General features: G+C 34.2%; 1 long non-coding RNA gene across 1 annotated transcript in view; it reads right to left on the reverse strand.

The window, feature by feature from the left end:
• The window catches only part of LOC105375147 (uncharacterized), a 172,035-nt gene extending 157,824 nt beyond the window's left edge, over positions 1–14,211 (reverse strand). The window contains exon 1 of the long non-coding RNA XR_927026.2: positions 14,131–14,211. This is a non-coding gene — a long non-coding RNA (uncharacterized LOC105375147). The remainder of the gene's footprint in view (positions 1–14,130) is intronic.
• Between the last annotated feature and the right edge of the window lie 1,448 nt (positions 14,212–15,659).

Here is a 15,659-nt window from a genome sequence, read left to right on the forward strand (position 1 = left end):
TGCTGTTTTGCTTTATTGCTTACTTGTCTTTTATAATAACCATCTTAATGTGTATAAAGTGGTATCTCTTTATGGTTTTGATTTGCTTTTCATAATGATCAGTTACGTTGATGATTTTTTTTTTATTTTTTGAGATGGAGTCTCGCTGTGTCACCCAGGCTGGAGTGTAGTGGTGCGATCTCGGCTCACTGCAAGCTCTGCCTCCCAGGTTCACGCCATTCTCCTGCCTCAGCCTCCCAAGTAGCTGGGATTACAGGCACCCACCACCATGCCCGGCTACTTGTTTTTGTATTTTTAGTAGAGACGGGGTTTCACCGTGTTAGCCAGGATGGTCTCGATCTCCTGACCTCGTGATCCGCCCGCCTTGGCCTCCCAAAGTGGTGAGATTACAGGCGTGAGCCACTGTGCCCGGCCATGTTGATGATATTTCATGTCACCTTTCACCTTTAACTCTCTTTTGTCCTTGTTCTCTGAATTATTTAGCATATTTTCATACTGTTTCCTGTGTTTATAATAAAAATTGCACCTTATTTACCGGGAAAGAAGTTCAATTTTTGCTTAAAATCTATCTTCTTTGTAAAATCTTCATGAATCCTATTTTCATATTAACATATCTTTTTCTGGATATCTATTATCTTCTTTATACGATGATTACTGCAATTTCCACAGCTTGAAGTGGATTATATTAGACATATATGGGTCTTCTTCTACTTGACAAAACTTTGTTCTTATTCATTTTGTTTTTCCCAGCATCTATAAATGCTGAATTAATTCATTCACAAAGAAGAACTCTTTGTTTGGAATATTCATCAGTGCTTTTGTATATTAATGTGTAGTTTTATGCGTGATTATGCCATGAAATATAAATTGTATTTCCTTAGGTACGTCTAAATATCTAGGTAGAAAACCTAAGTATATTTGATATTGATGTCAGAAATAATTGATGGCTTGGTGTAAGGGAAATATTATTAGAGTATATCTTTTACGAATACTTGTACGTATATGTCATTGAATAGAAGTTTGATTACTGTTTAAGTCTCTTCATGTTGGTAATATTTATATCCTTGTAGCTAAAGTAGATATCCAAAAGTAAAAAGCTTTTCTAAGCTTCATTTGACCAGATTTTCTGGTAAACACAAATCTAATCTACTGTAGAATTTTCTTCTGTCAGACTCAAGTAGGAAAGGCAGAGTCAGAAATTTGATTGTGAACAGCAACTTGTAATTCATATGTTCCTATGACAATGGGTACTGTAAAATATTGTCCACTGAACCCTGAACCAACGGAGGGAGTTATAATATGGCATTTTTGATAGCCATCCTGCAAAATTTTGTGCTAGTCTCATCTCTTATTCTTCCTAGCAACTTATTAAAGGGGCAAGCACTATCAGTAGCAGATACAAGAAAGGACAAGGTAACACTAAAACAACATAAAATTTTCTTACCTTGGGCCCAAAAGCATTCTGCAACTATAGAAAGTTTATGGAGAAGAAATTATATTACTACTTAGAAATCTAAGGTGCTATTCCAAATCTAGTGCCTTGGGTACCTATAAAGTATATAAGAGCAGAGATAAAACTCAAAATCAAGAAATAATAGTAGAGTCCCACTCTTCTCCCTCTGGTAATAAAGACAAATCCTCAGTTATAGAAGTAATTTCTATTTGGCATCATACTAATCAAGACTTCATGACTAATTTACTGAGATATTAACTCAAAATAGCCATTGGTAAAAAGGGTGAAAAATGTGTTTTCTGCTTTTCAACTTAATTTTGTTTGTTTGTTTGTTTGTTTTGTTTGTTTTGTTTTTTGAGATGGAGTCTCGCTCTGTTGCCCAGGCTGGAGTGCAGTGGCGCGATCTCGGCTCACTGCAAGCTCCGCCTCCCGGGTTCGCGCTATTCTCCTGCCTCAGCCTCCGGAGTAGCTGGGACTACAGGCGCCCGCCACTATGCCCAGCTAATTTTTTGTACTTTTAGTAGAGATGGGGTTTCACCGTGTTAGCCAGGATGTTCTTGATCTCCTGACTTCGTGATCCGCCCGCCTCGGCCTCCCAAAGTGCTGGGATTACAGGCGTGAGCCACCGCGCCCAGCCCAACTTAATCTTGTTACTAAATGATGATACGAATGTACAAGAGATCAGTTCCCAAGAGGCGGAGTGAAAAATCAGACCTTGAAATAGCAAATATTACTTAGCTTAAGTGCAATAATATATTTCATGGTAGAACACATTAAAATGTATGACTATTTATGTGAAATTTTTTTCTTGCTTAGTTTGTCTAAGAGCCCATGACATTAAGTACTACCTACTCCCATATTTCAAAATGATATGCCAGACCCTCTAGAACTGACTCACAAAGAAGTTGATTGAAAACTGATGTTTTAACCTTTAGATGACTGTTCAGTTTCAGCTTGCAAATTAGACTGGAAAGGCCAAAAAATAGGTAGAGATATAATTCTTTTGAAAAAAAAAGTGATAATTACTTGGCATTTATTTAAATGACAAGATTCTATCTAAAACAACACATACCAGCACACCAGAGAGTCAGATGATGACCACACATGGAAAAGAAATAGGATTGTGTTGCCCTATGTCCTTCCAAAGAAGGGTATCTGGAAGAGAAAGGATAACTCAGCAGCCAAATGCTGCGGACATCTACTCCTGGTTGTTTAGAGGTGATGGGAAAATGGACTACTAGGGGGTGGTACATAAGGAAATCACAAAGTTCCACAAGAATGAAAGTTATTTTATTCACATATGCAACAATCACATGTGAACATCAGTTTACAACTGGAAGGTCAAATGAGAATAATTCCGTGGCTCACTGCCTCTTATTTTTCCCCAAAATATTAGATGATCAGTATGTCAGAGATTACAATTAGGAAGCTAGAAGTAGGCTATAAGAATATTTGAAGAGACGGAATAATCTATTCAGTTTTGCCTTTGCCTGTGGCCAGCTCAAATGGGGAAGGGCATTAAAATTAGAAGGTTACTGTTAATGATTACATTGAACTGGGCATTACTGTATTAAAAAGACTGATTTTTGTTTAAAGGGACAGAATCATTTTTTATTATCTGAAAGTTATTAATAAGACTATACCATAGACCAGGAAATGAATTAGACATACAGAGTCTATTGGAAAATGAAGATCTGGGCAGAACATTTGCTCATTGATACTGAAAGGATATTGTTTCTAATCCTATTTATTGACTATACTAAAAAAAAATGTTAATTAGTACTGATACTTCCGATTTTAAGTTACAGTTCACACGAACATCTTCATGTTCCTAATTTAATAACAAGAGTTTCCCATTTCTTTTCCATTTGTGTTTTCTAATTTTGTTTCTTTTAGAGATAGGTTCTGGCCATCACTCAGACTGGAGTGCAATGACATGATAATAACTCACTGCAGCCTCAAACTCCTGGGCTCCAGCAATTCTCCTATCTCAAGTAGCCAGGACTACATGTGCATACCAACACACTTAGCTAAATTTTGTTTTTGTTTGTTTGTTTGTTTTTGTTTTTTTTTTTTGAGACAGGGTCTTCCTATGTTGCACAGGCTGGTCTTGAATTACTGGCCTCAAGTAAGTGATCCTACTGTCTCAGCCTCTAAAAGTGCTGGGATTACAGGCTTTAGCCACCATGCCCAGCCTCTCCATTTTATAATTGTGTCTCTTTTAAACTGAATGAGAATTATTCTAGTAACATTAACATATCAATAGATCAGATCTTTCCTGGAATTCACATAAAATAGTTAAAATCTCACAATTATGAAAAATAATAAAAGTCCTGAGGAATGATTTTTTTTAAGCCTGAAATATATCAACACCATGCATTCAAAGTGCTTTATCCAAAAGTCACTTGAAATCATTTTTGTGTCTTTACTTGGTATAAAAATAAATACATGCTTCCATATTTTATTCATTTTAAAGCTTTTCTTCATTTTTAACTTAATGGTAGTGATATAATTTTAAAAATATGGATATGTACATGTTTCCAAAGTCAACATTATATCAACAGGTATACTATTCTCTACCTCATTTGAGTTATATACTCTAAGTCATTTAATTTCTAATCTGAAGATTTATTTTAATTATATTGTATCAAATTTTACCCTGTTCAAATTTTTTCGCATCATTGTTTTCTTCTCTTTGTGAGTTTCACTGCTGAAAAGTCTTGGTTTTCCTTTCTAAATAGAATATCCACATTATCTTAAATTGGATGTTCCAATTTGACTTGAATATATGCTACTGTCAACATGCCTGTTCACAACTTGATTGTGTTTTCTTTTGTAAGTGACTTTTTCCTGCTTTGTCTTTAGTATTATTTTCTCTCAGTTTTCTCAGGTAAATAGTGAAGTCTTTTAGGAATCAGGTCCACTTTAATATCAGCAAAGTGGTCTTCAATCATAAATCGTAAATTTTGGTTCAGATTCATCTTTTCTTTTTACTTTTTAGGCAATTAGAAGCATTTTGGATCACCCTGGCCTATCTTCTATCACTTTTTCTCTGATTCTTTCCAAACTTTTAAATTAATTTTATTCTTGGTTTTTTTTTTCATTTCTATTCAATATTTAAATCCAGAGTTAAAAATAAAAGCAAAATAAAGGGTGCATGTGTGGAAGAATAAAATACATATTTTATTTTTCTATACCTTAAATACATATATAAATAAAACTTAAATACAAATAAAATAATGAATTAAGCACAAATGTAAAGGAAAAGCAGAAAAAGCAAAAGATAAGGAAAAAAGAAGAAAATAATGACAGAAAAGAAAAATATAGACCAAATAATAATTAAATAAATTATCGAATCATTTAAAAAGTTACAAATAAACCCTCAAGTAACCTCATTTTGGAAAACAGAAAGCACAAATATATAAAGTAAGAAATAAAAAGTGGAAAATAACTATTAAAACAAAAAAATGATTTAAAAAAGAAATTACTTTGTGCAAAACTATGAAAATAAATTTGAAAGCCCTGATAAATTTGATAACTTTTTGGAATTCCATCTTCATTGGAAACTACAATAGAGACCAAATGTCTAAAAGACAAAAGAAAAAGTGATAAGGGATCTGCCTGCCCACCACCAAAATGACTAATTCCTGGTAATTTCTAGGAATTCTAACAAATATCCAAAACTTAGAGATTGCCATCGCTATTTAAACTATTTCAATCACTTGCAACATAAAAGAATGTACGGGGCAATTATAAACTGATATCAAATCTTGATAAATATGACAAAAGAGAAAAAACAAATTATGCATATTTATGCAAAAATAAAATATTTGCAAATCAGAGCCAGAGGACATTCTAAAGGTAACCCCTTAAGATAACCCAAGTCAAGTTTATCTCAGAAACAAGGCAGGAATCAAAATGAGAAAACCCATTAGCATTTATCATATTGACAAATTTAAGGAAAAAATTATAAGATCACCTCTTTATATTTCAAAAATTTCTCAATATATTTGATTACATGAGATCAATATAAATTCCTCATTATTAAGAAAAACTAGTGTCCAGGTAAATATTTGCATAAGGTGATTTTACATAAATACAAACAAATATGATACACTAATTTGAATACTGCAATTCCAAAAAGAAATGTATACTTGCTACTCATCCTCAGACTCAAATCCTGCATTTTACCTCATAGACCTAATTTCTAGCTGAACAATGACAATTGCCATCCATGGACAAATAAACACATACACGTATGCAGACCTGAAATTCTTTCATAGTAAATCAATTTAGATACATGGCAGATAATGAAATAAGTGCTATAATAAAAATTTGGCCTGATTAAACATGATCATACATACATGGTCCTCAGTCACAGAGACAAGAGAGGTCCAATGTTGAGATGTATACAAAATCTTTATCAATCCATTGCCATGATCCCAATTACTACCTGATGCCTACATTGCTCAGGTCTTCACAGTTCTCCTAGTCCTAGTTGCACTTTTATTAACTACAGTATTTCCTAAGAAGCGGAATCCAAATCACTGGTGATTCGGGAGAAGATTTTAGGCTTAAGCTGAGGCTCTTGAGGCATCTGCAGACTTGTGGTTCTTTTCCTCTAGTACCTCAGCTGTGACCTTGATTCTGTTAGGATTTTGCATGGCAGGGCTACGATGTAATAATGAGTGCCCTTTGTTATCAAGGTTTAGACAGCTGTGACCACCATGTACTTCTCTCACTTCAGGTTGCACTAAGCATAAGCAACACAAAGGCAACTCATGCTTTAAGCCCTTGACTTAGCCCCAGAGCTACTTTCTGAGTCTGCTAGAACCTGAAAGCTCTGGATGGTGGAGGAGAAAAAGGAAAATCTTTTAATTCATTAAGTTTCTTGAAATCTCTTTTCCTGGGGAGAAAATGAAGACAGGCACCAGGTTGCCTCTAGCCTCCTTCATGACTGTTCAAAGAGTTCCCAGTACTTAGTAAAAACTGAAATTACGATCTGACTAATAATGTCACCCTTTCTTACCATGGATACATTTTCTCCGTGTCATGACTTTCTGAACGAAGTAGTACAATTATTATGTGAGCATAGAGCCTCATCTTCATTTTAAACCAAGAAAGACAAAGTTAAATATCACTCCTTAAAGGGTTTTATTCTTACTGAGAAAAAAATTTTCAGGCATAAAATATTTTGGATAAATTACTAAAATCATTTAAAATTGTGCTTATAATTAATTTTTTACACTTTATGGTTTAATTGCATTATTTTAATATTTATTTTCATATGGGACAATTGATGGTGTTTGTTTTAATTAATGATACAGGTAGAAGGTTTTCTTTTTAAAATAAATGTAAGTAAAAATGTGAATCAATTTAAAGATAAATATTAAGCAAGTTATAGTACTGATGGTGAGATTTAACAAAAATTGTGAAAATGCTATGCAAACGCCTGAAGTATAATCATACTGGCTGAATAAATATGTAATCTTAGTTATCTCATGTTTTCAACAGATGTATGATGAAATCCCTGTCTTTGCCCCTAAGCCTGTTGTCCTATTTCTTAGCATGGCTGTTGATATTATCATCTATGCAGTCTAACAGTGATTCTCTCCGGCATCTTCCCATGATTATTTCCCACTTGTTGTTCTAGTAAGTCATAATGTTATCTCTATATGTATCTTTAGTATTATATTTGATCTCCCTCTATATTTATGATATTTATAATATCACTGGAACATGCACATATTTTACATATTGATTTTTTTTCAACCTCCATAGTTCAACCCATCTTTTGTTTAAACAATTGTTTTTCCTTTTTTTAAAAAAAAATACTTTAAGTTCTTGGATACATGTGCAGAACATCAGGTTTGTTACACAAATATACATGTGATGTGGTGATTTGCTGCACCCATCAACCTGTCATCTACATTAGGTATTTTTCCTAATGCTAACCCTCCCTTAGACCCCCATCCCCTGACAGGCCCCAGTGTGTAATGTTCCCATTCCTGTGTCCATGTGTTCTCATTGTTCATCTCCCACTTATGAGTGAGAACATTCAGTCTTTGGTTTTCTGTTCCTGTGTTAGTTTGCTGAGAATGATGGTTTCAAGCTTCATCCATGTCCCTGCAAAGGACATGAACTCATCCATTTTTATGGCTGAGTGTTCCATGGTGTGTATGTGCTACATTTTCTTTATCCAATGTATCACTGATGGGCATTTGGGTTGGTTCCAAGTTTTTGCTATTGTGAACAGTTTTGCAATAAACATACATGTACATGTGTCTTTATATTAGAATGATTTATAATCCTTTGGGTATATACCCAGTAATGAGATTGATGGGTCAAATGGTATTTCTGGTTCTAGATCCTTGAGGAATCGCCACACTGTCTTCCACAATGGTTGAACTAATTTACACTCCCACCAACAGTGTAAAAGCATTCCTATTTCTCCACATCCTCTCCAGCACCTGTTGTTTCCTGACTTTTTCATGATCACCATTCTAACTGGCGTGAGATGGTATAACATTGTGGTTTTGACTTGCATTTCTCTAACAACCAGTGATGAGTTTTCATATGTTTGTTGGGTGCATAAATGTCTTCTTTTGAGAAACATCTGTTCAAATCCTTCACCCACCTTTTTGATGAGGTTGTTTGTTTTTGTCTTGTAAATTTGTTTAAGTTCTTTGTAGATTCTGGATATTAGCCCTTTGTCAGATGGATAGATTGCAAAAATTTTCTTCCATTTTGTAGGTTGCCTGTTCACTCTGATGGTAGTTTCTTTTGCTGTGCAGAAACTCTTTAGTTTAATTAGATCCCAATTGTCAATTTTGGCTTTTCTTACCATTGCTATTGGTGTTTTAGTCATGATGTCTTTGCCCATGCCTATGTCCTGAGTGGTACTGCCTGGGTTTTCTGCTAGGGTTTTTATGGTTTTAGGTCTTACTTTAAGTCTTTAATCCATCTTGAGATAGTTTTTGAATAAGATGTTAGGAAGGGGTCCAGTTTCAGGTTTCTGCATATGGCTAGCCAATTTTCCCAACACCATTTATTAAATAGGGAATCCTTTCCCAGTTGCTTGTTTTTGTCAGGTTGACGAACATCGATGAGAAAATCCTCCATTAAAAACTGGCGAACCAAATCCAGCAGCACATCAAAAAGCTTAATCAACACAATCAAGTTGGCTTCATCCCTGGGATGCAAGGCTGGTTCAACATATGCAAATCAATAAACATAATCCATCACATAAACAGAACCAATGAAAAAAACCACATGATTATCTCAATAGACGCAGAAAGGCCTTCGATAAAATTCAACACCCCTTCAGGCTAAAAACTCTCAATAAACTAGGTATTGATGGACGTATCTCAAAAGAATAAGAGCTGTTTATGACAAACCCACAGCCATTATCATACTGAATAGGCAAAAGCTGGAATCATTCCCTTTGAAAACTGGCACAAGACAAGGATGTCCTCTCTCACCACTCCTATTTAACATAGTATTGGAAGTTCTGGCCATGGCAATAAGCAGGAGAAAGAAATGAAAGGTTTTCAAATAGGAAGAGAGGAAGTCAAATCGTCTCCGTTTGCAGATGACATGATTGTCTATTTAGAAAACCCCATTGTCTCAGCCCAAAATCTCCTTGAGCTGATAAGCAACTTCAGCAAAGTCTCAGAATCCAAAATCAATGTGCAAAAATCACAAGCATTCCTATACACCAGTAACAGACAAACAGCCAAATTATGAGTGAACTCTCATCACAATTGCTACAAATAGAATAAAATACCTAGGAATCCAGCCTACAAGGGATGTGAAGGACCTCTTCAAGGAGAACTACAAATCACTGCTCAAGGAAATAAGAGAGAACACAAACAAATGGGAAAACATTCCATGCTCATGGATAGGAAGAATCAATATCATGAAAATGGCCATACTGCCCAAAGTAATTTATAGATTCCATGCTATCCCCATTAAGCCACTATTGACTTTCTTCACAGAATTAGAAAAAGCTACTTTAAATTTTATACGGAACCAAAAAGGAGCTCATATAGCCAAGACAATCCTAAGCAAAAAGAACAGAGCTGGAAGCATCACGCTACCTGACTTCAGACTATACTGCAAGGCTACAGCAACTAAAACAGCATGGTACTGGTACCAAAACAGATATATAGACCAATGGAACAGAACAGAGTCCTCAGAAATAATGCCATACATCTACAACCACCTGTTTAAACAATTTTTTTAAAACCTTCAGTCTTACTGATTTGTAACTCATGTTGTGCCTTTAAGCCACCCTCATGCTCTCCCCAGAACTGTCATTCTAAAACACAATTCTGATCACATAACTTTCTAGATTTAAAAGCCTTCACCAATTTTTTATTTTCTATAAGCAGCACTCAATTTCAGTATGGCAAGTTTTGTCCTTTATATTCTAGCTTCAGACTAAATGCTCTCCACACAAATCCTTGCAGCATGCAGGCATGCTAGGCTTTGTAATAATAATTTATGTTTTAAAAAAGTTACTACTTCTGACAGAATTGGCTTTGCCCTCTATTTTATCTGTTAAATTCCTGCTCCTCATTTAAGATGAAACTCATTTATCATTCCCTCTTCAAAGTCTTCCTAAGTTACTAAAAGCAACATTCATTATTCATTCCTTTATGATAACACTTAGTGCTTTGCTATACTATTATAGAACATTCTACTTTATTTTGTATGATTCACATCAATGTCTACTTTTATTACTGCATAGGAGGTCTTATTCATGAGAAGCAGTGCAATACAGTGCTTCAGATCTAATATTCTGTGGTCAACAAGACCTGGGCACAAAGTCCTAGAAAAGTTGGATTTCTGGTAAATCTCAGATGAATAAATAAGTGAATGAGTTAAATGAGCTGAGAATCCTCCCATACATCAAACTATTCTTTATCCCCAAATCTTCCTCACCTAGTACATTCCTTAAAGGCCTTGTTCCTTTTATCTTTTAACAAATTAATCCTACTTTGTGTATTGAGATTTTTTTAATGGATTTAGCAGATGGTACACAAATGACCATTCTGTAATATTTGGTAAAATGTCACTTGTTAAAATGAGTGGGTTGAACTGGATAATATATGCTTCCTTCCATTTCCCACAGTCTCTGACCTCAAGGAGCACATCCCTGCTGTGTGATAGGCTTATGTTTACCCATGCCTTTTAAAGATTTTATTACATCAGTAAAATTATGTCATTAACACATACCAATTATGTGATTAAAGCTATTTACATTAAACATGCAATTAGATCAAATTATGCTAATAGGAAAATGCAGGATAACTAAAATTAATTTTAAAAGCAGAGAAATTAACTCAGATAAACTACATTTAAATACCATCACATGTTTAAAAGTAAGCAAGCAAATATTCCTGTTTTATCTCCACTAGTTCAGACTCTAATCAACTTGTCTTCCTGCTTTCATCTTCCCTCCCCAGTCCAAACTCTACGTATGACACAGTTACCTGTCCAAAATACAGATCCAGCATGTTCCTTCTCTGCTTAAAAACTGAAGAGTGGCACTCATTCCTTGTGAGAAACAATTTGTACTTTCACTCCTCTACAGTAGGTGTGACATTAGCTTTCACTAAGTTCTGTGAGTCTTTTTAGTGAATCATCAAAACGGAGGGTGATTTGGAGAAACCCTGAATTTGCATTTGGCATCTGATGTGAGGGTAATCTTGTATGGACTCTTGCCTCTCACTTTCTGTTTGACTTTAATTCCTTACAGCTGGAGTGAAAATCATGGGGAAAATTGGCATTCTAGAGGACTGCACCCTTACCCTTGAGTTTGAGTTTGGCTAATTCTGGATAGAAGCTTTTGTTCAAATATTTGCAATCATTTCAAAAAATTCAATTTATTTATCAGAAAGCTACTTTGACTTCTTCACACAGGTTTAATATTTAGAACTATCATTGTCATTTCACTCAAAGCACTTGGTAATTTCTTTCTGATTTCTTCTTCAAACCCAAGAATAATTTAAAGTGTGTTTTAGAATATTTAGGCTAGACATATTTTGAACTCTCATTTGTTAGTTTAAAATTTTGTTAAATTTTTAGTCAATGAATTAGACCTATAGAATATCAATATTTGCAATTTAAGCTTTTTGTCTAATGCATACTTAAATTTTGCAGAGAATCTATTGTTGGACTAGGGTAATACTTAGACTGTAAGACAAATACTATTTTGTCTGTTTTTAATTTAATATAGTAAAGCTCACTCTTTTGATTCTACAGTTTTATGAATTTGACAAATGCAGCGTCATGTAAACATCACAACAAACAAGACTCAGGACAGTCCTATCATCCGAAATAAATTCCTTTAGTTTTAGTTATTTGTATTCAAATCTTTTCTCCACCTCTAAGCTTTAGAAAACACAAATCTGCTTTCTCTTCTACAGTTTTGTTTTTTCCAAAATGTCTACAAATGGAGTCAGATGATATGCATTATTCTGAGTGACTTGTTTCATTTGTCATAATTCATTTTAGATTCACTGATGTTTTGTGTGTGTCGATAATTTGTAACATTTGATTATAAAGTTGAGTAGCATTTCACTGTGTGGATGTGCCACAGATTTTCTAGCCACTGACCAGTTTAAGCACATATGTGTTGTTTCCATCTTGGGGTGGCAGTGAATAAAACTGCTACAAACTTTTGCATAGAGGTTTCTGTGTATATAAGTTTTCATTTTTTAATCTAAAACACTAAAAGTAAAATAGCCATATTATACAGTAAGTGTATATTTAACTTCATATGAAATGGCATAACTATTCTTTAGAGTGGTTGTACCAGTAGTCTTCCTATCAGCAGTGTATGAGAATTACAGTTGCTTCTCATCTGTGCCATAATTTAGTATTTTCAATTTTTAAAATTCCACTCTAATTGTTTTTTTGTTGTTGTTGAAATGACTAAAACCTAAAACCCTCAGTTTCTTTTTATTAAATTGGGTTATTTATTATATATTCTAATAAAAGTCATTTGTCAAATTGTGATTTGCAAATATGTTACTTCAGTCTCTGGTTTGGCTTTTAACTTTAATTTTGCTGAAGTCCAACTTGTCAACTTTTTTTAAAACATATTATGATTTTAGAGTCATATATAAAAACTTTTTACCAAATGTTTTCTCCTATGTTTTCTTATAACAGCTTCAAAGTTTAGCTTTTATAGTTAGGTCTATGATACATTTTGAGATAGTTTTTGCATAATATGTGAGGTATATATTAAGGTTTATTTTTACATATGGATATTAAATTTTCCAGCATCTTCTTTGACAGTATTATCTTTTTTTCCAAACTAATTGCCTGTGCATCTTTGTCAAAAATTAATTGATCACATTGTGTGGGCATGTATATGGATATTCTATTCTGCTGCATCTGTGTGTACCCTTTTACCAAAACCAGACTAAAAAATTACTTTAGCTTCTTAAGTTTTGAAATCAGGTGGTGTGTGTCCTCCATATTTGATCAATTTTTTAAAAAGTCTTTCTTTTATAATTACTTTGCCTTTTCAAACAAATTTGAAAATGAGTTTGTCAGTATCTACAAAAATTGCTATGATTTGATTGGGATATTATTGAAATTAGAATCAGTTTAGGAGAATTTGGCAACTTAAGTCTTCAAATACATGAACACAAAATATCTATTGATTCAGGTCTTTTTTTATTTCTTTTATCAGTCTTGTGTCATTTTCACTATGCACATCTGGCATATATCTAAATGCATATTTAGATTTATAAGCATTATATCTTACTGGTGCTACTTAAATGGTTCTGTGTATTTAATTTAAATTTCAAATAGTTTCTTGCTAGTAGATAGAAATTATATTGATTTTTATATATTTTATTAGTTTAGTAGGGCTGCCCTAACAAATTAGCACAAACTGGTTTGATAAAATGTCAGAAAATTATTGTCTTCCAGTTTTGGAGACTAGAAGTTCACAATCAAGTTCTCTACAGAGTTAGTTCCCTCTGAGGGCTATAAAAGAAGAATCTGTTCCAGGCTTCCCTCCCTGGCTTACAGATTGCCATGTTCACCCGGTGTCTCTTCATATTGTCTTTCTTCTATGCAACTCTGTGTCTATGTCCAAGTTTCTGCTTCTAGTAGGGACCTCACTCATGTTGGATTAGGGGACCACTACAGGTTTAATACTCTGGTACAACTTCATCCTAACTAGTTGTATGTGCAAGAACCCTTTTTCCAAATAAGGTCACAGTCTGGTGTACTGGGAGCTAAGACTTTAGCATACAAAATTTGAGCGTGTACAACTCAATTCATAATAGTTTACCCTTTTCTCCCAAAAATTCACCTTTTCTCACATGCTAAATGTATTCACCCCATTCCAACACTCTTAGAAGTCTTAATGGCATTAACCCTAAATCCCAAATTTCATCCAAATATTATCTGAATTAAGTGTGGGTGAAACTGAGAGTATTCATTCTGGTACAAAATTTCTCTTTGTCAGTGGAACTGAAAGGTTATTTGCTTCCAAAAATACAATGGTAGGATTGTCATAGGATAGATGTTTCCATTTCAAAGGGGAGAATTCTGAAGGAAAAAAAGGGATAATGTATCCCAGACAAATTTAAAACCTAGCAAGGAAATTCCACTAGAGTTCAAGGCTTGAGAAATAATAATAATCCCCTTACCTTGATGCTTTCTTTTTCTGGCCCACTCAGGAGGCCACCCTACCCTCTGCCCTGATATGCAGCCCACCCTTTAGAACGTAGGAAGTGGCCCCACCCTTAGCATCAGTTTTTCCCTTTATTGAAGCATAGCACATGTCCACAGCCAGACATCTTCATTGACCCATTTCCTGCCTATAAAATTCCATAAGTTGGGGTTTTATTTCATCTCATCCTTTATTTCATCTTCCTTCCTTTGTTTCATCTCTGTCCTTTTCAGTTCAAAATTGCAATATTTCTGCTGAGATGGTTGATTGGATCCACAAATTCTATAACTAATGTCTTTTTCAACTGATTGTTCATCCGTGCCCATGATGGTCTGTCCACAGCAAGCTTTCTAACATTTTGCAGTATGGACTGGCTACAAGTTTTCCACATTTTCAAGTTCTGTTTTCCTTTTGCTTATCAATTACCTCTTCAATTTATCTCTTTTCTCACATTTATAGGCCAAAGGAAGGACCAGGCTGCACTTTTGATAATCTGTTTAGAAATTTCCTCAGTTAAATATTGAAGTTGATCAGTTAAAGTTCTACTTTCCATCAACAAGAATACAATTCTTTCGAGTTCTCTGCCACTTTATAACAATGATTACCTTTCTTATTAGTGTACAATATGTTCTTCATTTCTATATGAAACTTCACCAGAAGCACCATTTATATTTCAAGAACCATTCTGCTTATAATAATATATGTATTCTCTGAGAGAGGTTGTTCATATAGTTCCACTCTTTTGTTTCTGAGCATTCACCAGAATCTCCTTTAATGTCAAATGTTAGTACTTTACCAACAGTCTCTTTAAGCCAATCTAAGCTTTTTCTATCATGTGCCTCAAAACTTTTTCAGTCTCTACCCATTACCCAACTCCAAAGTTACTTCATCATTTTTGGGTATTTTTATCTATCAGCACCTCACTTCCCAGTACCAAAATATGTTCTGTGTCTCTTCTCTAGCTTCTGGTGATATTATAGTAATTTTGCTGTTTCTTGTCTTGTAAAAGCATCAGCATAATCTCTTCACATAATATTCTTTGTCTGTGTGTGCGCCTGTGTATGTGCCAAAATTTCTTTTTTGAAAAAAGAACATCAGTGATACAGGATGAGAAGTCCATCCTATTCCGGCATGATCTCATGTTAATTCATATCTTCTATGCCTTATTTCCAAACAAGACCACATATTGAGGTACTGGGGGTGAAGACTTCAACATACACATTTTTAAGGGGGACACAACTCAACCCATAAAATTAACCTTGTGTACCGAGACACCGTCAACTCACTTATTAGTTTTAAGTGAGAATCTAGCTGATGTAGACTACTCAGGATTTTCTATCAAGACAATCATGTTTTCTTTAAATAGCTTTTTTGGTAACAATTTTATTCAGATATAATTTGCATAGCATACAGTTCACCCATTTAAGATGTGTAGTTTAATATATTTTAGTTAATCTTCACAGAGTTAAGCAACCATTGTCATAGTCAATGTGAAAACATTTTCAT

Source organism: Homo sapiens, chromosome 7, assembly GCF_000001405.40.
Source record: "Homo sapiens chromosome 7, GRCh38.p14 Primary Assembly".
NCBI classification, from domain to species: domain Eukaryota; kingdom Metazoa; phylum Chordata; class Mammalia; order Primates; family Hominidae; genus Homo; species Homo sapiens.